General features: G+C 36.7%; 1 protein-coding gene across 3 annotated transcripts in view; it reads left to right on the forward strand.

Annotated features, from left to right (window-relative positions):
• ACTR3 (actin related protein 3) overlaps positions 1-24068 on the forward strand; it is a 72663-nt gene that overhangs the window by 17090 nt on the left and 31505 nt on the right. For 2 of the 3 annotated variants that reach the window (NM_005721.5, NM_001277140.1), the window contains exons 2-4: positions 6149-6204; positions 9861-9985; positions 20322-20432. In NM_005721.5, coding sequence (NP_005712.1) covers positions 6149-6204; positions 9861-9985; positions 20322-20432 — 292 coding nt within the window. The remainder of the gene's footprint in view (positions 1-6148; positions 6205-9860; positions 9986-20321; positions 20433-24068) is intronic. The other variant, NR_102318.1, reaches the window with a different exon arrangement.

Here is a 24068-nt window from a genome sequence, read left to right on the forward strand (position 1 = left end):
TCGATTTGGGTAAATAGCTTTCAGATATGAAAGTTTGTCCCAAGTCTGAATTCTGTACTAAATGCAATTATCCAGATGGCAAATTTAAGAAAAAATGAAGCCATTTAAACTTATTTTTAAAGCTTATTAGGAGGGAATGAGATCAGGTTGTTTACTAGCTGTCCAAAAGAGAGTTTTTGCTAAATGTAACTTAGAGCAGGGGAGAAGGTGCTTTTATGAATTACTTTTTTGTTTATTTTTTATTGTAATTTTATAATAATTTTTTAAAGACGGGGTCTTGCTCTGTTGCCCAACTGAAGTGCAGTGGGGCAGTCATAGCTCCTCCATGGCTCAAGTCATCCTCCCTGCCTCCCAAGTAGCTAGGACTACAGGTGTGAGCTGCTATGTCCAGCTGATTTTTAAATTTTTTGTAGAGATTTGGATCTTGATTTGTTGCCCAGGCTGGTGTTCACCTCTTGTCCTCAAGTGACCTTCCTGCTTTGGCCTCCCAAAGTGCTGGGACTACAGGCGTGAGCCGTCACACCCAGCTCATGAATGACCTTTTTGAATATCCAGGAAATCTTTACAGAAAATTGCAAGGGCTGTAGAAAAATAAATTATACTGATAGGATTTATAAATTCAAAGCAAAAATTTATTTTGGAAAAGTAAGGTTAAAAGTGGGTTGTTGGCCACGCACGGTGGCTCACAGCTGTAATCCCAGCACTTTGAGAGGCTGAGGCTGGCTGATCACCTGAGATCAGGAGTTGGAGACCAGCCTGACCAACATGGAGAAACCCTGTCTCTACTGAAAATACAAAATTGGCCAGGCATGGTGGCGCATGCCTGTAATCCCAGCTACTTGGGAGGCTAAGGCAGGAAAATCGCTTCAACCCAGGAGGTGCAGAGGTTGTGGTGAGCCGAGATCTCGCCATTGCACTCCAGCCTGGGCAACAAGAGCAAAACTCTGTCCCCCAAAAAAAAAAAAAAAAAAAAAAAAAAGTGGGTTGCTGTGATACACTTGGTCAGGATCCTGAAGAACATCATTATTCTTTAGAGAGCAACAAACATGTATATATGCTTAGAGAAATGCTTAATAGGAAAGTCATTTGAAACCTATTTGTATTATTACAAAAATATTTGAACTTTGTGTCACTGAAAAACAAGAGCCTTGAATTTAAAGATAGTGATTACATCCTTAAATTACAATTTAAAAAGTTCATATGTCAAATGCCAATTAGCTGTTAGCAGTTTTTTTTTTTTTTTGTCAAAGAAAAAGCGAGAGAAACTTCTACCATCTACTTGTACAAAATTTCTTCTTTATGGTGACTATCGAATTTTTAGAGTTCATAAAAATATCTTAAGGATAATATGTAGTTATTTCATGTGTAAAACTCAATAGAATTGGTAGGTTAATGGAGGCTAGTTTACATTTGAAAAGCTTTTATTTTGGAGTTTTAAATAAATTTAATATTTAATATACTTTCTAATTTTTTTCTTTTTCTAATAACAATTTTCAAACCTCTTCCTCTCCTTAAATGTTTCTCATCTCACATATAAGCATTAAAGTATTTTTATATGAGCATTAAAAAGTATTTTTTTAGTCTGAGATTTCTACGGTTCTGTTCTTATTTTTAAAATTATTGCAATGTATTTTCTGTACGCTTATTCTCTGAACTTTGACTTGTTTTTTTTAATTTTCAAATCTTAATTTTTAAAGTTTGCTAGTAGTATAAAGCGAGTGGTTTTAAAGAGTGATTTTTTTTGTCATTCAGCACTTTACTCCCTGCGGGAGAAAATGTGACTTTTTGAAGGTTGAGCCTTCAAAACCTTTTTTAAAGTTTAGTAGATAACTTTACTTTTTTAGATTGTGTCCTGTACCACATTTTTTTTGAGACAGGAACCAAATTAGCTTTTAGAGTCTAAGCAACTTATGAAGTTAAGTAAACTGTGATATTTCCCCTCATATTTTTTAAGAATTGGTGAAAATATTGTTGTCTATGATTATTATCAAATGCTGTAATTTAGCAGTCTGCCTAACTAATGTAGACAGACTTTACATGATTTAGTTCTTTTGGGATATTTAAAATTTAAATCTAAGGTAGTAGAACATTAGTTACTGCTCCCCAAAATGTAGTAGATTATTTTGCTGTGGCATTTAAAATACATTAGAAGTGATTAAATAAATTATGGTATATCCATACAATTGGATACTGTATGCATTTATTCTTGTGTTTTGAGAAGAGCATTTTTGTTTTGATTACATATTGACTGTTTTGTATTAGGTTCATTTGATCCTTTTGGTGTTTATTTTGAAAGTAATTCATTGATGAATATACTCAGCCTAGGAAATTTGATTTTGGCCAAGAATGGGGTCTTGATCAGTCTGGTAAGCTGGTTAAATGAATGTTTCTTAAGGGAATTTCTACTGTAATGTGGTCTGTACTTCAAATATTACTGTAATATTTAGGAGACGATATTTACACACATAAAAATATGTGTGGCTTATGGTTGAAATGAAGATTAGTCAAAAGAAAGGATGCCTGATAGTTAAAATGATCAGGAAAGACTTCCTGGAGAAGTTTTAAGTTGTGATAAAAGTTTTTTTGTTGTTGTTGTTGTTTTTTTTTTTTTGGGAGGGTGCAGTGTGAGCGTAGATAATATGTGAGGGGGGAATAGGGAATAGACAAGATATAAGGGAAAAAAGAGTAGCAGGTGTAGTATGCTTAGAGCTGGGTTTATGTAAGCAAGTGATAGCAGATGCTTATAAAAATTGGAAATGATTATGGAGAACTTTAATATTCAGCTGAAGGAATCAGAGAATGATATAATTGTTCATGTGGATGGGCCTTTAGGAACAATTTTACAATGAACAATTTTACAGAAATGGAAACAAGCTTGTACTTAATCTTGTAGCCAGTAGAGCATCATTTGAAGATTTTTGAGTTAGGCCGTTTGAAATTGGGAAATATGTATTTGGTCTTCAACTCCATATTCGGACATACAACTCCTATAATTCTTAGAAACTCCAAAGTGACGTCTGTTTGAGTGCTAATGGGATGACTGTTGGCTGGCAGCCCCTAGGTAACTTCAAGATGGGGCTGGTCACTTGAAAGACCAAGGCATGATTAGTGAGTTGGGACTTCCAGCCCCACCCTCCAACCACTGGGGCTGAAGGTTAAGTTGATCACCAGTGGCCAATGGTTTAATCAATCCTGTCTATGCACTGAAGCCTCTATAAAAACCCAAAGGACAGAGTTTGGAGAGCTTTCAGATAGCTGAACACGTGGAGGTTCTGGGAGGGTGGTACGCTCGAGAGGGTGTGGAACGTCTACGTCTCTTCCTACACACCTCACCCTGTGTGTGTCTTTATCTGTATGCTTTGCAGTATTATTTATAATAAACCAGCTAATGTGTTTCTCTGAGTTTTGTGAGCCACTTTAGCAAATTAATTGAACTCAAGGAGGGAGTATGGGAAACTCATCTTCAAGCAGGTGAGTCAGAAGTTCCAGAGTCTGGGGCTTGTGACTGGTGTCTGAAGAAGGGGGGCAGTCTTGGGGACTGAGCCTTCAACCTGTGGATTCTGATGTTATCTCCAGGTAGATAGTATTGGAATTGAATTACAGAACACCCAGCTAGTGTCCACTGCAGAATTGATTGCTTTTTTGTTGTTGGGAGAAACCCTCCACACATTTGGTCCCAGAAGTCTTCTGTGTTGATTGCTGTGGTGGTGGTGTGTAAGCAGAGGAAAAAACAATTAGAGCATTGTTTTTAGGTATATTATTCTCTTGTCCTTTGTAGGAGTTCTAGAATTGGAAATACTGTTTTGTCCTGTTTTAGGGTATTGTTGGGTATAGCAGCTTGAATTGTGGTGGTGACAAATAAGAATAAAAGTAGAGAGATTAATATGTGGGATCAGACCAAGGAATAGTTAGGTATTAATAATTCACTATTGGTTAGATAGTAGTAGGCTTTTAGGTAGAGTGTTTTGGTTCAACAGTTTCAGACTGCTTTGTATTAAACAAGTTTTTATTTTGGTATAGTAGACTAGTCATTTCCATTTGTCCACTGGTAAGGTATTAAACTATACTGGATGGGAAGGAGAGCATCTAATGTAGTAGGAGCAGTGTTAATAGTGGCTTGGTGGCATGAAATGAGTTGGAGTGTTGAGAAATTGTCAGCTGTTTTTATGGTTAGGGAGTTTAATGTGGTGTCAGGGCAGCTGGGAGAGGTCAGAGGCCAAATAATAAAGGGACTTTTTTGTATACATTACAAGGAAATTTTTTGTTTTTCGTTTTTTTTTTTTAAAACGTGAACAGTGGGGAACTGTTGAAGAGGTTAGTCAGTAGACCAATATCACTTTTTTCAACAGTTTATGGTTTCCCCTTATTTTTAATGATTTACTCTTATTTGGCACACTTTTTTTTTTTTTTTTTTGAGACGAAGTCTTGCTTTATCACCCAGGCTGGAATACAGTGGCATGATATTGCCTCACTGCAACCTCTGTCTCACAGGTTCAGGCAATTCTCCTGCCTCACTCTCCTGAGTAGCTGGGATTACAGGCGCCCACCACCACACCCTGCTAATTTTTGTATTTTAATAGAGATGGGGTTTCACCATGTTGGTCAGGCTGGTCTCGAATTCCTCACCTCAAGTGATCCTCTCTCCTCGGCCTTGGCACACTCAGTTCTTGAACTTAATTTGGAGGCTAAAACATTCCCCAAAGATATTGTTTATTTATTTGTTTATTTTTTGAGACAGAGTCTCACTCTGTCTCCCAGGCTGGAGTGCAGTGGTGTGATCTCGGCTCACTGCAACCTCCGCCTCCTAAGTTCAAGCGATTCTCTTGCCTCAGCCTCCCAAGTAGCTGGTATTACAGGTGCCCACCACCATGCCTGGCTAATTTTGTATTTTTAGTAGAGTTGGGGGTTTCACCATGTTGGTTAGGCTGGTCTCGAACTCCTGTCCTGGTCCCGTAATCCACCTGCCTCAGCCTCCCAAAGTGCTGGGATTATAGGCATGAGCCACTGCTCCCAGCCTAATTTCTATAGTTTTAGTAGCGAGGGTGTTTCACCGTGTTGGTCAGGCTGGTCTTGAACTCCTGACCTCAGGTGATCCACCCACCTCAGCTTCCCAAAGTGCTAGTGTTACAGGTGTGAGCCACCACGTCAGGCCCCCAGCAGATTTTTTTTTTTCATTTTATCTTAGAAAAAAGATTCTTCAGATATTAGAGTCCAAGAATGTCACAGCAATTACCTGTCTGCTATTTATCAGTGAGTTTGAATATGGAATAATATAAAATGTTACATTCTCTTTAAAGCCTGCTTATAGTTAATAGCTTTTCCCACATAGCTAAAAAATGCCCCACTATCTCCTAAGTAGCCCCCACATACTGCTTGTCAGAGCTCAGCTTTTATAATTTCTAATCCTTATTTATGTTGTTATTTTGTTAGAAGAATGTAGGCCAAGTCTACTGTGACAAAACATTAAATCTTATATTTATTTTTGAATAGTAATTAATTTGAATGGTATGAAACAATGTACAATGAAAACAAATCTCCTTCTCATTTCTGTTCATCATGCCCCAGTTCCCTTTTTTGGAGACAACCAAAATTATTCTTGTGTAGTCTTCCAGAGATACGTTGTGCCTATACAAAATATTTCATATGTTTTTACTCCTCCCCATTAGTTTTATACAGATATACCATACTTGATACATTGTTCTGTATCTTTGTTCAATAAGTAATATATTTTGGGAATTGTTTCCTATCACTATACTAAGAGCTTCCTCATTCTATTTTTTGTAGCTGCATAATATTCCATAGTATAAACTTAGCATATTTCAATAGTTTCCAGTTTGATTGATATTTAGGTTATTTCCAGTCTTTTGCTGTTAGAAGCAAGATTGTAGCTAATGACCTTGATTGTGTATTATTTCACATATATTCCTGAAGGATCAATTTCTTGAAGTGGAATTTCTTTTCAGAAGCTCTGTGCATTTATAATTTTGATAGAATTGTGAAAGTAGGGGTTAAATGAAGTGAAACTATGGAATTTGGTATATTATTTACCTACGATGGAATCTCACTTCATAACAAATGAAATTCTAAGAAAGAAATGTATAATTGCTAAAATATTAGTGAAATCTTTATAAATTATTTTGTTTTGCAGGTATACAAAACTAGGATATGCTGGAAATACAGAACCACAGTTTATCATCCCTTCCTGTAAGTATTTCTTTTAAGCCACAAATGAGCTGATTTAAAAGATCCCCTTCCCTAATAATTTAAGTAAAAGAAGTAATCAGTTCTGAAATCCTAAAAGATTTAGTCCTTTTAAAAACATGATTTGCCAGGTTCTAAGTGTGGCCTCATTTTTGTATGTCTGACTATTCATTTCAGCTTTATGTTTAGCTCCCCATTTGCCATGTCTACTAAATACCTCTTTTTAAAGAAAAAAAGAAATTAGCTGATAATGAAACAGTACCCCAATTTTTAGGGTGATATTGCAGTTAACAGTATGGGGGTATAACTAATTATCAAGTAGTCCATTCCCCATCATATACCTATGAAGACTGTCCTTTGGTTTGTGGATATGACTACTGTTTGTAGGGCCCGTATCTGTTGACGTCCTCACTAAGTGCCCATGTTTCAAAATATGGATGGAAGGACAATATCTCACTATCTCACCTTTAGAGATGTTGACCTCAGCTGTTTTCTAATATCCCATAACCATACTGTTGTATGTCTTTAGAGTATTTTTGTTTTATCCTATTTTTGTTAATCTTGCTTAAGCTGACCATTAACTTTCAGTAGTTTTTAAAAAATATTCTGACATTGGTTTGTTAGTGCTCGTTTGTTAGCATAGGTCTGTTCCTTGATTAACGTACTTTTACACTTTTGACTTGCAAACAGTTCACGTTTTTTGTACATAATATAGTAACACTTCTGATCTATTTGTCTTACAGCCAAATTAAAACTTTTGCATACCAAGTGACAAACCTTTTGAGCCGTTGCTTAGTGGTTCTCCTAGACATTTTAATTTTGAGAGTGTCACTGATTTTTCACAATCTTATTTATGTGACTGAATTTTTTGTATTTCATTGTTATTCATTATGAAAATAAGAAAATGGAAAAATGAATATGTAGAGAGTAATGAAAGCAGTGTATGTTTCAGAATCAATGAAGTTGAGAATAAGATGTTAGGCTTTGCCAAAAACTGGATCTTTAGTATCACTTGAGCACTCATTGGACACAAGAGGTCAACTGTTTTGTCATTTGTGTAGTAAGAACAAAATTAAGTGTGTGGCATTAAAGAAATAACACTGTCTGGCCGGGATCGGTGGCTCACGCCTGTAATCCCAGCACTTTGGGAGGCCGAGGCGGGCAGATCACGAGGTCAGGAGTTCGAGACCAGCCTGACCAACATGATGAAACCCTGTCTCTACTAAAAATACAAAAATTAGCCAGGCATGGTGGTGCACACCTGTAGTCCCAGCTGCTCAGGAGGCTGAGGCAGGAGAATCGCTCGAACCCGGGAGGTGGAGGTTGCAGTGAGCTGAGATGGCGCCACTGCATTCCAGGCCTGGGGGGTGACAGAGCAAGACTCAGTCTCAAAAAAAAAAAAAAAAAAAGAAAGAAAAAGAAAAGAAATACACTTTCAAAATTGCACCTAAAAGGGGAAATGGTTTTAGGGTTTTTATCTACTCCTCACTTTCTAGAAACAAACTTATTTGACTTGTGTGTTTCTCCTATTTTGATACACTTTTCTAGGAATCAATTATGTAAGAACTTAGGCTACTGCCTAAATCTAATACTTCTTTAAAACCCAGAATGGATTTTAGTTGATATTGATGAAACAGCTCATTCGTGTGTCTAGTGGCCTTTATTATTACCTTTTAAATATTTTATTCATGCATGTTTGTTATCTACTGAACATGAAGAATAGGTTTGCTTTTCTTTGTAGTTTTTCTCACATTTATATGTCAATACGTTGATTGTTTTTTGTCTGTTATTAAGAATTCGGTGATACATGTTGGCTTTATTGCTGACTAATGTAGAGGTACTTCTTTGGGCTAGTACTTGACTTTAGTCGTATTTCAGTTTAGTGTTAGACCATCGTGTATGTACTTACTGGTTTCTTTAAGCTACCGTACGTAACACAGTACCAAAAATTGGGTGGCTGAAAACAACAAACACTTAGAATTCTGGAGTCCAGAAGTACAAAATCAATGCGTCAGCAGGGTCATGCTCTTGCTGGTGTCTTCTGGCTTCTGATGTTTCCTCAGGATCCTTGGCTGATAGATGCGTCACTCCAGTCACATGGCTGTCTTCTTAATGTGCGTCTTTACATCATCATCCTTCTGTATCTGTGTTCAAATTTTCCCTTTCTATGAGGACACTAGTCATATTGTATTAGGGGCCACCTTGATAACTTCGTTTTAACTGTGAAGACCCTATTTCCAAACACAGTTACATTCTGAGGTACTGGCGGTTAGGACTTCATATCTTTTTGGTGATACACAATTCAACCTGTAACAATGCTGATGACTTTTAATCTTTTGTGTATAATCTTTTGTTGTGATTGTATATTTCAGGAGACTACTAAAGTTATTTCTGCCATCTTAGCAAAATTGGTTTTGGTTATATTCGTAAATGGCTGTGTTAACTTTTTGTTGGAGGCCTATATAATCTTGATTTTTTGAACCATTGGATCTCATCACTATTGAATCCATTTTTTATCTTATCTCTCTGCCAAAATATGAAGTCTTTGCCATGACTAGTTGCAGTATGTTAAAAATTCATTTGCCTGCTGTAAGAAGGTTTTTGATTTTTGAGTGTTTTTTCTCACCCACCCAGTTTTAATGCTGCAGGTACAGTGTTTATAATTAGCAGATAGAGACATTGCCACTGTCTTTTACTAATGAGTATTGATATTTGATCTGGAAAGCCTGTGCAAGTGGTTCAAGGTTTTTTTTATATACATGCATATTTATTTTTAGGAAATTTATAGTGAGCCACCTGGATGTCTATGTACACTGTAAGTAAATTGCTGGAGAGAATTTCTAGCATTTAGAAGGACTAGATGGTGGATTAAAAATTTTTTTCTTCCAGTTATTTTCTGCCCACTTTCTTAAGGATATAGCTGTTACTAAATGAAAGTAACAGTTGAATGCCAGATCAGTTTAAGTGCATTCAGACAATTATTTTGAATGAAGAACTGAACTTGATGGATTCGTACATTTATAACTTAATCTAAAAATACATAACAAGTTTTAGCTTTCAAACTGTATGCTGGATTTCTGCAATTATTTAAGGATATTGTTGTGGGTTTCACCTAAATGAATTGAGATTTCCTTTTATATATGTAGTTTAACAGATCTGTATTACATTTAAATTACTAGACCACAATAGTAATTACTGTTACTAGACCCAATCACTATTACTAGACCCAGTAGTGATAGGGTAGAGATGTAAAGAAAGTTTAAAAAATTATTCTTGAAGTTTTTTTCTCATTTGTGTTTTTCAGTTTTTTTCTTTCCAGTTGTTCATCAAGCATATGTGGATTTGGTGGGATTACAGTTTTACTGAGAATCAAAGGAGGATTTATATAATTTAAAAAATATATATTTGAAACTTTCCCACAGATGTTGTTTTTCTGGCTTTTTGCATTTGAGGTCTTGTCTCTGAGTGGAAGTTGAGGTTTCGTTGTGTGAAATGAATTTTGTCACTGGTTTCTTATGACTTTTGTGAATTAGTTTGACAATTTAAATAGGCTAGGTCATGTTTTACTTTGTAGTACTTTGTAATGGGAGAAGTGTAAGGTAAAAGTTTTTCTCATTTGAGGAAAATGAATTCTTTGACATGTCTAACTTATTTTAAAGGTATTGCTATTAAGGAGTCAGCAAAAGTGGGTGATCAAGCTCAAAGGAGGGTGATGAAAGGTGTTGATGACCTAGACTTCTTCATTGGTGATGAAGCAATAGAAAAACCTACATATGCAACAAAGGTATGTTTTTATGATTTGTATAAATAACATTTTCAAAAAATAGTTTGTTCGATGCTTGTGCCCTCTGGAATTCACTCTATAATAGACCTTATTAATATCCTCAAACCTCTTCTCAGTAGAAATTTCTTTTTCCCTATGGCATCCTTCCCTGTTGCTTTAACTTTTTTTTTTCTTTTTTTTAATAACCCCTAAGAGGAAAGTTTTAGCCCTTTCAAATGAGCAGTATTTATTTTTCCACACCCACTGGATCTCAGGGCCCTCAATAAAATTACCTTTACTTCCACATTGCTACTTCTGCAAACTTTTTTTCCCCATCTTTATTCAAACTTACACCATTTTTCTCTTTTTTGAAGTTTATGCCATCTGTAAGTGCTGTTCTCTTTCTCCCTCTTTTTCTTTTTCCCTTTTTCTTTTCTACCCTTTTCCCTCCCTCTTTTAATTGAGGTGTAAGTATGTAAGTGTTAATTATACAGTTCGAAGAATTTTTATGACTGTAATCATAACAGGTAAAGAAACAGAACAAATCTAGTAACCCTGAAGCTTTCCTTGTGCTTGTTCACACAGTCACTACTCCATTCCCACCAAAAAATAAATGCTATTCTGACCTTTATCATCTTATTTTTTGACACTGACTTTGTCTGATTTGCAAATATCCTCCTTTGTACTTCTTCCCTTCTCATAATTTATTCATTAATGAACAACTACCATGTGTAAAATACTTTGCCATGTATCGTGAGTAAAATGGTGTATAAAAAAATTTCCCCGACTGCAAGGCTATTATAATGTGGTGGAAAGGAAGACATTGAAGAAATAATTACAAGTGTGTTGGGGGTTAGAAGAAGGGAAACACACACACAGTGCTCTGTGCATGTATCACAGGAGTAGCTAACCTAGTGTGGGGAATCAGGAATGTCCTCGAGGAGTAAATCTTTAAGCTGAGGCTTGAAGAATAAAATAGGAGTTAGCTGCTGAGGTGGGCAGGCTGAGTTGTTTTAGGTAGAGAAACCAATATATGAAAAGGCTTTACAGTATGAGAGGGACTAGAAGTGCATGACCAATATGCCTGAAGCATGGAGAACGAGGTGGAAAGAAGTGAGGAGGCTGTATAGGTAGGCAGGAAAGAGCACTGAATATGTTGTTAGACCATGTTAAAGAATTTGAACCCTATCCTATTGGCAACATTAATGAGTATACCTAGAGGAATAATTTTTGCACTTAAAGTGCAAATATTGGAATCTGCCTGTTTGAACTTGAATCCTGTCTGTGCTAATTTCTAACTTTGTGATATCATTCAGTGACTTAACCTTTCTGAATTTTGATTTCTTCGTCTGTAAAATGGAGATATTATTAGTACTTGAAGATTTTTTTCTTTTCTTTCTTTTTTTTTTTTTTTAAGACAAAGCCTCACTTTGTTACCCAGGATGGAGTTCAGTGGCATGAACATGACTCACTGCAGCCTTGAATATCCCAGGCTCAAGTGATCCTCCTACCTCAGCCTCCCAAGTAGCTTGGAATACAGATGCATGCCACTATGCCCAGCTAATTTTTTGTATTTTTGGTAGAGATGGAGTTTCATCATGTTGCCCAGGCTGGTCTTGAACTCCTGGGCTCAAGCAATTTGTCCCCTTGGCCTGCCAAAGTGCTGGGGTTATAGATGTGAGTTACCACGCCTGGGCCAGGATTGTTATAAGGCTTAAGGAGATGTGTATAAAGAAATTGTTATACTCTAGTGCTTTGAACATAATGGTTACTCAATATATGTTGGCTTATTTTACTTAGAAAAGATTACTCAGGCCACATAGACAATGAAGAGAAATTATTTGGGTAAGGTAAGCATGATTCTGGGAAAACCAGATAATTGACTATTGCTATAGTCTAAGCAAGAGATATTAGTGACGGCAGTGGGGATAGAAATGGAAATTGTGTAAGTGCAATCACACACACAGACATTTAACTTTTATTGTGGAAAACTTCACATGTCAAAGAACAGAAAATAATATAATGAACCCCCATGTGCCTATCATACAACTTTGGTGGTTATAATCTATGGACAATCTCATTTTGTCTATATAATCTTTCCACCCTCAACCTGCAATTATTTTAAAGTAAATTGTACATACTATTTCACTTAACAAATACTTAACTCTTAAATATGAAGGCTTTTAAAAAAGGTAAATATGACACCTTAATTTAGTATGCAGTTTCTTTATCTGATATCTAGTCATTGCTTAAATTTCTTTGATTATTTACTATATTGGTTATTCTGTTTGAATCAACATTAAAATGTGGTCTACTCATTGGATTTAGTTGATAAATCTCTTAAGTCTCTTTTTATCTATAGGTTATTTTCCCTGTGTGTTATGTTTCTTTTCTTTTTTGTTCTTGCCATTTATTTATGGAAAAAAACTTGAGATGTCTTGTAAAATTTCCTATATTCTAGGGATTCTGATTATTACATACTCATTGGGTCATTTAACATGGTACCCTACTTCCTATATTTACTTTTTTTTGTTGTAAATGGTAGTTAAATGTAAGTCTGATTAGATTTATGGGAGGTTTTTGTTTGTTTGTTTTGACAAGGAAAAAGTGGATAATTAAAGAGTAACAGGGCGTGATGAATGGGATATTGGTGATAAGCTAGATGTATCAATTGAGGGTAATTCCCAGCTCCGAGATAGTCTTATTTATCCCTTATCTGCTGAAATTGAGAATGTTAAAGGAAAAACATCTAAAAATTATTTTATTTTATTTTTAAGACAAGGTCTCAACTTTGTCACCTAGGTTGCAGTGCAGTGGCACAATCACAGCTCACTCACTGCAGCCTCAAACTTCTGGACTCAAGAGATTTTCACACTTCAGTCTCCTGAGTAGCTGGAACCACAGGCGTGTGCCACCATGCTTCGCTAATTTATTTTATTTTTATTTTTATTTTTGAGATGGAATCTTGCTCTGTCTCCCAGGCTGGAGTGCAGTGGCGTGATCTCACCTCACTGCATCCTCCACCTCCTGGGTTCAGGCGATTCTCCTGCTTCAGCCTCCTGAGTAGCTGGGATTACAGGCATGTGCCACCACGCCGGACTAATTTTTGTGTTTTTAGTAGAGATGGGGTTTCACCATTTGGCCAGCCTGGCCTTGAACTCCTGACTTCAGGTGATCTGCCCACCTTGGCCTCCCAAAGTGCTGGGATTACAGGTGTGAGCCACTGCGTCCGGCCTTTTATTTTATTTTTTATAGAGACAGGGTCTCCTTCTGTTGCCCATGCTCGTCTCAAACTCCTGGGCTCAAGTGACCCTCCCATGTTGGCCTCTCTCAAAGTGTGGGATTACAGGCATGAGCCACTGTGCCAGGCTTTTAAAAAAATTTTACTTGACATATAATAATTGTACATATTTATGGAGTATGTAGTGATATTTTGATATGTACAGTGTGTGGTGATCAAGTCAATGTAAGTAGCATATTCACCTCAAACACTTATTTTTTTGTGTTGAGAATATTCAGAATTCTCTGTTCTAACTATCTGAAAATATATAATAAATTAACTGTAGTCATCATATAGTGCTATAGAACACTAGAACTTATTCTTGCTATCCAGCTGTAATTTTGTATCCTTTATTCAAGCTCTCCCTATTCCCTTCTTTCCCCTACCCTTTCCAGCCTCTAGTAACCACTTTTCTACTCTCTACTTACATGAAGTCAATTTTTTTAGCTTTTGCACATGAATGAGAACATGCAATTTTTTATCTTTTAGTCCCTGGCTTATTTCACTTAATGTCCTTTGGGCTCATCTGTGTTGCCAGGAATGACAGGATTTCACTCTTTTTTTATGGTTGAATAGTATTGTGCATATATACTACACATATCCGTATGGACACTTAGGTTAATTTCATATTTTGGCTATTGTGAAGAGTACTGCAATAAACATGAGGGTGCAGGTATCTTTGATATAGTAATTTATTTTCCTTTGGGTATATACCCAATAGTAGGATGGCTGGATCATATGGTAGTTCTATTTGTGGTTTTTTGAGGAGCCTCTGTACTATGCTTTATAGTGGCTTTACCTATTAACATTCCCTCCACAGTATATATGAGTTCCCTTTTCTGCACATCCTTGCCAGCATTTGTGATTTTTTTTGTCTTTTGGGTAATAGCCATTCTAACTATGGTGAGACGGTATTTCTTTCTGGTTTTGATTTGCATTTTCCTGATGATTAGTCATGTTGGACGTTTTTTTCATGTATTTGTTGGCCGTTGATGTGACTTCTTTTGAGAAATGTCTATTTAGATTATTTGCCCTTTTAAAAAAATCAGTGTTTTTTTTTTTTTTTCTTGCTGTTGAATTGAATTCCTTATATATTCTGGATGTTAATCCTCTGTCAGATGTACAGTTTGCGGGCATTTTGACCCATTCCATAACTTGTATTTTCCCTCTGTTGATGGTTTTCCTCACAGAAGCATTTTAATTTAATATAATCCCATTTGTCTATTTTTGCTTTTGTTGCCTGTGCTTCTGAGGTCTTATTTGTAAAATCTTTTCCCGTACCAATGTTGTGAGAGGTTTCCCCTAAGTTTTCTTCTAGTACTTTTATAGTTTTGGGTCTTAGATTTAAATCTTTAATTCATTTTGAGTTGATTTTTGTATAAGGTGAGAGCTAGAGGTCTTGTTTCATAAGGAGAAACACTTTTGACTGGGTAGTGTAGAGAGGAGAAAATAAGTTTAATTTTGAACACATTGTGTTTGAGGTACTTGTGAGACGTCTGAGATTTTGTTAGAGTCAAATATGTGGATTTTGGAGGTAAGAAACAAGGCAGAGCTGGAGACAGAGATTCAGAAAGTGTCAGTTACCTTAGACGGGTTGACATTACCTAGGGGAACATATCACAGGGGAAGAGAACTAAGACAGAGCAGTGTGCCAGTTAGGTTTGAGTAGAGGAGGAAAAGTCTGCGAAAGAGACTGAGAATGCATGGGTAGATATGTAGAGGTAAACACTGTAGAATGGTGCTGAGATGAGCTAGAGCCCATAGATAATTTGCTGTCTTTCGCTACAAGGTGGTGATTTGTAACCTGAATGAGAATAGTTTTAGAAGAGTAGTTGGGCTAGATGAAAGTAGGCTTTTGAGTGATAGGCCAGGAAAAAAGTAACAGTAAGAGTACTGTTCATTGAGTTTCAATTGTGATTGGGAGGGAGAGAGAGATGAAGAGACACATTTCAACGTTAAGATGGAAGACATGTCTGAATGCTAATATGAAAGAACTATTAGAGATTAAAGTAACAGGAAAGATAAGGTATAATCAAGGTCTCTGAAAAAGCTGGAGGGATGAGATCCAGAACACAGATGACTGAATTGACATGCGGAATATCTTACATTATAATGGAAGTAAATGAGAAAAAAGGCTAAGTATGGAATCCATTTTACAGATTTGAATTCCTGACTGTTGGCTTCTGCTGCTTCTGCGAAATATGTGGTGGCATCATCTGCTGGTCATGGATGTGGGGAGAAGGTGAAATCTTAGCGGTAGGGGCGGCATTGACACTCGTCATTGTGAAGAGTAAAGAGGAACAGAGTAGAAGAGTAAAGGCTTGCCAGGCAAGGTTAGGTCCATTTGAGAATAATGACTATGAATTCTTAGTCTTTAGCACCCTAGTGCAAATGCTTCTGCGGTATAATCAGCATTCTGGATATAGGCAAGTTTATGTTAGGGATATATGCTGGGTTGGATTTTGGTAGACAGGATGAAAAAAGAACATGTGAAATAAAGGTGATGGGTCAAAATCTAGACTGTGTATATTGATGGCTAGGGAATAATTAAAGCAACCAGTGGACCAAAAGTCTTAATTGGTGTTCAGAAGAGATCTCTTGAGGTGGTTGAGTATGCTAGAATAATAAGAGGTTGTGATCAGAGAAGGGTATACCTGCATTTCAGCGATTGAGAGGTGATAGTGATGATGATATAAGATCTATACTGTGGCCAAAATGGAAAAGAGATACCACTGAAAGTGATGAAGTCAGTCAGTCGAGAGGCCAGAGTTCCTTTCCACTGATTCTGTCCACTCATTTTAAACGCATTTTTAAGTCTTCTAAGTGCTACTAACAAACCAGAACAAAACTTCTCTCAATCTTTATTCCTACCTTCTGTCCTCAGCAATTTAGCTATTTTTCTCTTTCCTTTTAAAACGACACTTCTTAGTGAGTCTCAAGATATTTGATATGCTCTTTGTTAAATCCAATTATATGTAACAGTTTTCATCCTTCTTGATTTGTCTTTCTTTTGCAGGATTACTCTAATGGTTATCTTCCTAACATGGAATATTTGTTTGTTTGTTTGTTTGTTTGTTTGTTTGTTTTTGAGACGGAGCCTGGCTCTGTCGCCCAGGCTAGAGTGCAGTGGCGCGATCTCAGCTCACTGCAGCCTCGACTTCGGGTTCATGCCATTCTCCTGCCTCAGCCTCCCAAGTAGTTGGGACTACAGGCGCCCACCACCGTGCCCGGCTAATTTTTTATATTTTTAGTAGAGATGGGGTTTCACCGTGTTAGCCAGGATGGTCTCAATCTCCTGACCTCGTGATCTGCCTGCCTCGGCCTCCCAAAGTGCTGGGATTACAGGCATGAGCCACTGTGCCCGGCCTGTTTTGTTTGTTTTTATTTGTTGTTTCTATTGTCACTGATTTCTCCTTTACCCACTACTCAAACGTTGGTTTCTCTAGGCACTGCTTTCAGTTCTCCTTTTTTTTTTTTTTCTCTTCTCATAAAATGGGGTGACTCAATGTTTTATTCTTTCATTAAAGACTTTCTCTAGGTGATCTCCTCCATTCCTTTGTCTGCAACCACAGACCAGATCTCTACTTTCAGTTCCTTGACTACATCTTCACCTACCTATTTCCTGGCTCTTGAGTTTTAGTATATCTAAAACAAAACGTATTATATATACTCCACTCTTGTTTATTCCAAGATCAGACAAAACACAATTTTTATGTTTTGATTAATGGATCTGGTCCATCCTAACTTCAAAGCTGGAAACCTGTTGGCATCTTCTGACTTTTTTCTCTTTTTTTTTTTTTTTTTGAGACAGGTGTCTTGCCCTGTTGCCCATGTTGGAATGCAGTGGTGAGATCTTGGCTCACTGCAAGACCCTCCACAATCACTTTGACCCTCTGGGCTCAAGTGATTCTTCCACCTCAGCCTCCTGAGTAGCGGGGACTACAGGTGTGTGCCACCACACCTGGCTAATTAAAAATTTTTTTTTTTTTTGTAGAGACAGGGTCTCACTACGTTGCCTAGGCTGGTCTCAAACTCCTGGGCTCAAGCCATCCTCTCACCTTGGCCTCCCAAAGTGCTGGGATTATAGGTATGAGCCACCATGCCCAGCCCTTTCTTATTCTTATTGACTGAGAAATCTTCAATGTGGCCCCTTGTCGTCCATACCACTATTGGTACTCTTGTTCTCACTTGGTTCTGTTAAGCTTCATTTGAGCTTTCCCAATGCTGCTATAATAGTCTTCCTAAAAATTAAAGCTGTTCTTATTCCCCTGCTTAAAAATTTCTCTGCTGTTTTATTTCTTATAGAATAAAACCTAAATAAAAGGAAAATTTTTGAGAATCTAGTCCCTTTGATCTAGAACTGGTATATCTCTCTACGCACCTTCAAATCTTTTGGCACATAAATTTCTCATTGATAACTTCAGTTTTGTTTTTGTATACCATGCAGTGTTTGTCTTTCTATACATCTTTTTCTGTTCTCCACAAGTTCCTCCATACCTCTCATTCCCCTGCCAAAAAAAAAGCCAGAAAGCAGAACTGAGTTAAGACCCGGCTTAGATATGACCTCCTCAGCGAAACCTTTTCTCTCACAAAACAAGGTGGTCATCTTATTCAAGGAACTATTTATTTATTTATTTATTTATTTATTTGACAGAGTGTTACTCTGTTGCCCAGGCTGGAGTGGAGTGATGTGATCTTGGCCTACTGCAACCTCTGACTCCTGGGTTCAAGAGATTCTCCTGCCTCAGCCTCCCCAGTAGCTGGGATTATAGGTGCCTGCCACCATGCCTGACTGATTTTTGTATTTTCAGTGGAGATGGGGCTTCACCATATTGGCCAGGCTGGTCTTGAACTCCTGACCTCAAATGATCCACCCACCTCAACCTCCCAAAGTGCTGGGATTACAGGCGTGAGCCATCGTGCCACCTTTTTTTTTTTTTTTTTTGGAGACAGAGTCTTACTCTATCGCCCAGGCTGGAGTGCAATGGAGTGATCTTGGCTCACTGCAACCTCCGCCTCCTGGGTTCAAGTGATTCTCTTGTCTCAGCCTCCCGAGTAGCTGGGATTATAGGCATGCACCACCACGCCTGGCTAATTTTTGTATTTTTAGTGGAGACGGGGTTTCACCATGTTGGCCAGGCTGGTCTCAAACTCCTGACCTCAGGTGATCTGCCTGCCTTGGCCTCCCAAAGTGCTGGGATTACAGGCATGAGCCACCACGCCCAGTCGGAACTTTATTTTTTTTAAAAACCTGTAGTGTAATATTTGTTCGTATATATTTCTTTTGCTAGACTGAGTTTTTTGTATGCTGGATGTCTGTGTCCTTAGCATTTGTGCCAGTGGCTTACAGTAGGTACACAGTAATAATTGATGAATAAATAATACTTAAAACATTTGAATTTGTAAACTTCTAATAATGTTAAAAATTGAATGATAAAGTAAACTGCAATTTTTTCCTTCCTTAAAGCAAACTGGGGAGTAGAAGTCCTTTTATAAGTATAATGCCTTAAAAAGTAGTGTGGAAACTAGAGTAAGAAGTAGATGTTAGGGATTGATACTGCAAGGTATTTATTTCTTTGTTCATTAATTTGTTTAACTTTAGGTATTGAATGTGTATTATGTTCATGGAATTATATTCTGTTGCAGAGGTTCACAAACTTTCTCAGTGCCGTTAGGGTCTCAGTAACGTTTTTCACTGTGCCACCTAGATCGAAAGAAATGTCTGATAGTTCTGTTTATTAAATACCTAGGTCCAGGCAACTTAGTAGCCACTTGAAAAAAATAAGACACTTAAATTGGAAACGTTATTTCACTGCTGAGTAATCACATTTCTGTTAGGATGCTTAGGCATCGCTCAGCTTCTCAAACCTGGAATCAGATGGGACATTGCCACCCTGATTTCTTGTTTTATATCGATGTTATTTTATGTGATAACTTGGTTTTTATGCCAGCAACTGCTGACAAACCAACTTCTGTAAGAAATAATGTCATTGAAAGGAATATATAATAGTTTGATTTATTGTTGAAACTGAATTACTGTGACTTGTAGATCACGCAGTGTCCAACTGATGTTGAGTAACACTATATTTCCCTGGAAAATTTAAAATAACTTTGCGGCGCCCTTGTGAATTTATGGTAGTACACTGGGGTGCTGTCTCAGTTCATTTTCTGTTGCTATAATGAATACTTGAGACTGAGTAATTTATAAAGAAAAGAGGTTTATTTTGGCTTGTGGTTCTGGAGGTGAGGAAGTCCAAGATGAGTTGGCCACATCTGATCAACCTCTGGTAAGGACCTCATGCTGCTTCATAACATGTTGGGGAATGGAAGAGGAAAGGGACAAAATACAAGGGACAACTTCACTTTGTAACAGCCTGCCTTCAACCCTCTGGAGAATTAACTCAGTCCTGCTGAGAACTGCATTAATTCCTCTAATGACCTGATGACCTCTTAAAGGCCCTACCACCTCTCGATACTATAACACTGGGAATTAAATTTTAACATGAGTTTTGGTGGGAACACACCACATCCAAATCATAGTAGGTATCTTAGCACACAGTTTTGGAAGCATGACTCTTAAACATTTATAAAACTTTTCTTATAACATTTTATGTGCTTGATTCTTACAATTATTCTAGGTATGTACTTACAGGTGCACTTTTTATATTCGGCATACAACAAATACTTGTTAATGGCCTAATGCATTAAAAATTAAGGAAATTGTGATAAAGTATAGTTTTTTAGGCTTAATTTTTGTAGGCTAACTTATCCTTTTATTACAAAACTTTTAAAATCTAGAAAGACTAGTACAATGGTCTTCCATGTAGATTTAACAGTTTTTAACATTTTGACATATTCACTTTGTTTTTATTGAACCATCCATCTGACAATGCGTTATTGAACTAATTTATCTTTAAATCCTTAAGTACACATCTTTTAAGGATGTTCTATAGTATCACACCTATGAATATATCCTCATCTAATATCCACTAATGATCTGATATTTCCTTTTTTGTATTTTTATTTGTTTTTTATATTAATAAGATTTAATTTGTATTTCCCTTTTTGTTTTAATAGTGGCCAATCCGCCATGGTATAGTTGAAGATTGGGACTTAATGGAAAGGTTTATGGAGCAAGTGATCTTTAAATATTTAAGGGCAGAACCTGAAGACCATTATTTTCTTTTGGTAAGTTACAAGTTATAATTTCACTGAGGAAATTTTTGAATACACTTAATGAGAACATTTTCATCATACTTCTTTGGTATACTTTGGTTATTAAATTGTCATATGTCTAAATGACTTTGTAATAAAGCTGTATCATCTTTAAGACCATCTAGTTATGGCTACAGGAGAATAGTAGTATGTCAAAGCACCACATGTTAAACACTTAAGAAGTGCTTTTGGTAGTTAATGTCTAATCTTTATGATAGAAACAGTAAGTAATGTTCAGAAAAATGTTGGAAACCTGTGGCACTTTTTTGCTTAAAAAACAATAGTCTGATTATTATATCATTGGTATTTCTTCATAACAAAAATACAATATAATCTAACTTTTTATTAAACATCTTTTTATTAAAGCAGTGCATGTTCATAACTTAAAAAATCAAATGACTTTATAAGATTTAAAACAACAAAATAACACTTTCCTTTCTTACCTCTCCCAACCTTTGGTTCATATTCCCCGGAGGCAAACATTTTCAATTTTAACAAAGTTTGCCCTGCTAGTAATCTTTTAACATGTTTCTTTTATTTAACATTTTTTTTTTATTTCTTCTGTCTTTAAGAATATTATACATTATTTACCAACTTCCTAATAGGAAAAATGAGAATTTCCCTTTTTACCTTTTCTCTCCCTCAACACAAAATACCTATCCTTTCCCACTCCTCGCATTGTAGTTACATCACAATTTTTGGTTAAATCAATATTCTGTGTCTTTCGGTGATTGTGATGGACTATAAAGTTGAAAGAACCATACTATGGACACTCATACACCCACAATCTAGATTCGATGATTAACCTTAACATTTGGCTATAATTGCTTCATGACGTCTATCCATCTTTCACTTCATTTTAGTTTTTAAATCACTTCAAAGTGAGTTGCAAATGGGAGTCATTTGACCCCTAAATACTTTAGCACGTATTTCATCAACTAGAGCTATCATTTGTGTATGGTTATTCTTTTCATATAAAATTTACATATCATAAAATCACCGGTCTGCACCATTCAGTGGATTTTGACCAGGGTTTGGCAAACTTTCTAAGGGAGCAGATAGCAAATATTTTTGGCTTTGCAGGGGTTATAGTCCCTGAGGAAACTTAATGAGAACTTTTTATACAATGGTCCCTGTCACAGCTACTCAGCTGTGCTGTTGTAGCATGTTAGCAGCCATAGACAATACTTAAATTCATAGGTATGTCTGTGTTCCAATAAATTTTTTTTTTTTACCAAAACAGGTGGTGGGCTGTATTTGACCTGCAGGATGCATGATGTGATTTGTCCAATCTTTGTCAGTTACATACATCTGTGTAACCTAAACTCTTACCAAGATATAGAGAAATTACTATCAGCGTGGAAAGTTTTCTCATGCCCTTTTGTAATTAATCTCTGCCCCCGTGCCCTAGTGACAACCACTGTTTCTTTTTCATCTGAGATTAGCTTTGCCCATGTTTGAGTGTCAAATAATGGAATCATGCAATATGTGCATTTTGGTGAAACACTTTTACTTAGCATAATCTGGAGATTGAATTATGTTGCATATACTGGTGATTTGTTGCTTTTTGTTGCTGGGTAGTATTCCATTGTATAAATTTGCCTCACTTTATCCATTTTCCTGTTGATGAATACCTGGGCTATTTTTGTTTTTTTTTTGTTTTTGTTTTTGTTTTTTTAAGACAGGGTTTTGCTCTGTTGCTCAGGCTGGAATGCAGTGGATCAATCATGGCTCATTGCAGTGTTGACCTCCCAGCTCAAACAGTTCTCCCAGCTCAGATTCCTGAGTAGCTAGGACACACAGGCCCGGGCCACCACACCTGGGTAATGTGTTCTGGTTTAGAGATGGAGTCTCACTTTGTCACCCAGGCTGGTCTTGAACTCCTGGGCTCCAAGTGATCCTCCCGCCATGGCCTCTCAAAGTGCTGCCACCATGCCTGGCTTAGTTCTAGTTTTTGGTTATAATAAAATAATTTGACCATTGTGAACCTTCTTCTACAAGACTTTTTGTGGACATATGTTTTCATTTCTCTTGTCTAAATACGTAAGTATGGAATTGCAGCGTCATAGGGTAGGTACCTGATTGGTTTTTTAGGGAAACTCATGGGAACTTTTCCCAAGATGGTGAACCTTTTTGCACACCCCCCAGTGATGCATTAGTAATCTGCTTGCTCTATTCAAGATTTGGCTTATCAATCTTTTATACTTTTTTTTTGAGACAGTCTTGCTCTGTCACCCAGGCTGGAGTGCAGTGGTGTGATCTTGGCTCACTGAAACCTCCCCGCCTCCCAGGTTTAAGGGATTCTTGTGCCTCAGCCTCCTGAGTAGCTGGGATTACAGGCATGCACCACCACACCTGGCTAACTTTTGTAATTTTAGTAGAGACAGGATTTTGCCATGTTGGCCAGGCTGGTCTTGAACTTCTAGTCTCAAGTAATCTGCCCACCTCGGCCTCCCAAAGTGCTGGGATTATAGATGTGAGCCACTGCGCTGCTAGCTTGTCAGTCTTTAAAATTTTAGCCGTTCTGGTGGGTGTGTACGATTTTTCATTTGCTTTTAATTTTAATTTTCATTTTCTGATAATTATGTTGAGCAGTCTTTCATGTACGATTGTTATTATTAGCTATTTGTATATTTTCCTTTGTGGGGTCCTCTGATTATCTTTTATGTAGATTTTTTTTCTTGGAGTTTATAATTTCACTGCCTTGGTTTTTAGTTTACTTAATTTTGTATGTATTCATCAGTAAATTATCTCCAGACTTTTAAACATAGCTCCAGAACTCTTCTAAAGAAGTTTAAACACCACAGGGAGTTTAGCTTATAAAGGTTTTATGTAAGGTAACAGTATACTTAGTTGTTTTGCTTTATATTTCTTTTGAAATAATAATTTTAAAAATATTTAATTTTTAATGGATTCAAGTTTTATCACTTTTTCCCTTTGTGATTTGTACTTCAGAAATTTAAGGAGTTATTCCTACCTTAAGGTCAAAAAGAGAATTCTGTGTCTTTTTTAAATTTAAAAATTTTTCTTTTACATTTAAGTATTTGAGATACCTATTAGATTGCCAGTCAGACTCACAAGAATCAGAGGTCTTACCCAGTGTTAATCTTTAAAAATTGAAACAGTTTAAGTGATCATGAGGCATAGGTGAAATATGAAGTCCAAGACTGCCAGATCTCTGAGTCCTTCCTTGCCTCTTTAGAGTGTGTTCTGTCCCAGACTTAACCTGTGAGGTTTCTAAGTGATGTATACAGTCACATAAACAGAAGAGTGCTCTGCAAACATCTTGATTCTATGCTCTTAACAGGTAAATTAATATAACATTTTTCAGAAAGCTGTACCATTAGATCTGTAGAATCTCGGCTTGTTTACTGTAATCCTATATACTTCGGGGACATTCATCTAAAAGCATTACTTAGATGAGGGCTCTCCCACTGGCAAATACCATTGATGTTTTTTCTGGAGGTTTGTCATTACCATATTTAAAGGATGATTTGACTGGACCACCTTTTCCCTACCTCCAACCCTCTCTCTCCCTGCTTCATTTCTTTTTAATGTTTAATCTGTATAAGTGGTATGATATAGGCATTCAGGGTATTTTTTTTTTAA

The sequence above is a fragment of the Homo sapiens genome, chromosome 2 (assembly GCF_000001405.40).
Source record: "Homo sapiens chromosome 2, GRCh38.p14 Primary Assembly".
NCBI lineage: Eukaryota > Metazoa > Chordata > Mammalia > Primates > Hominidae > Homo > Homo sapiens.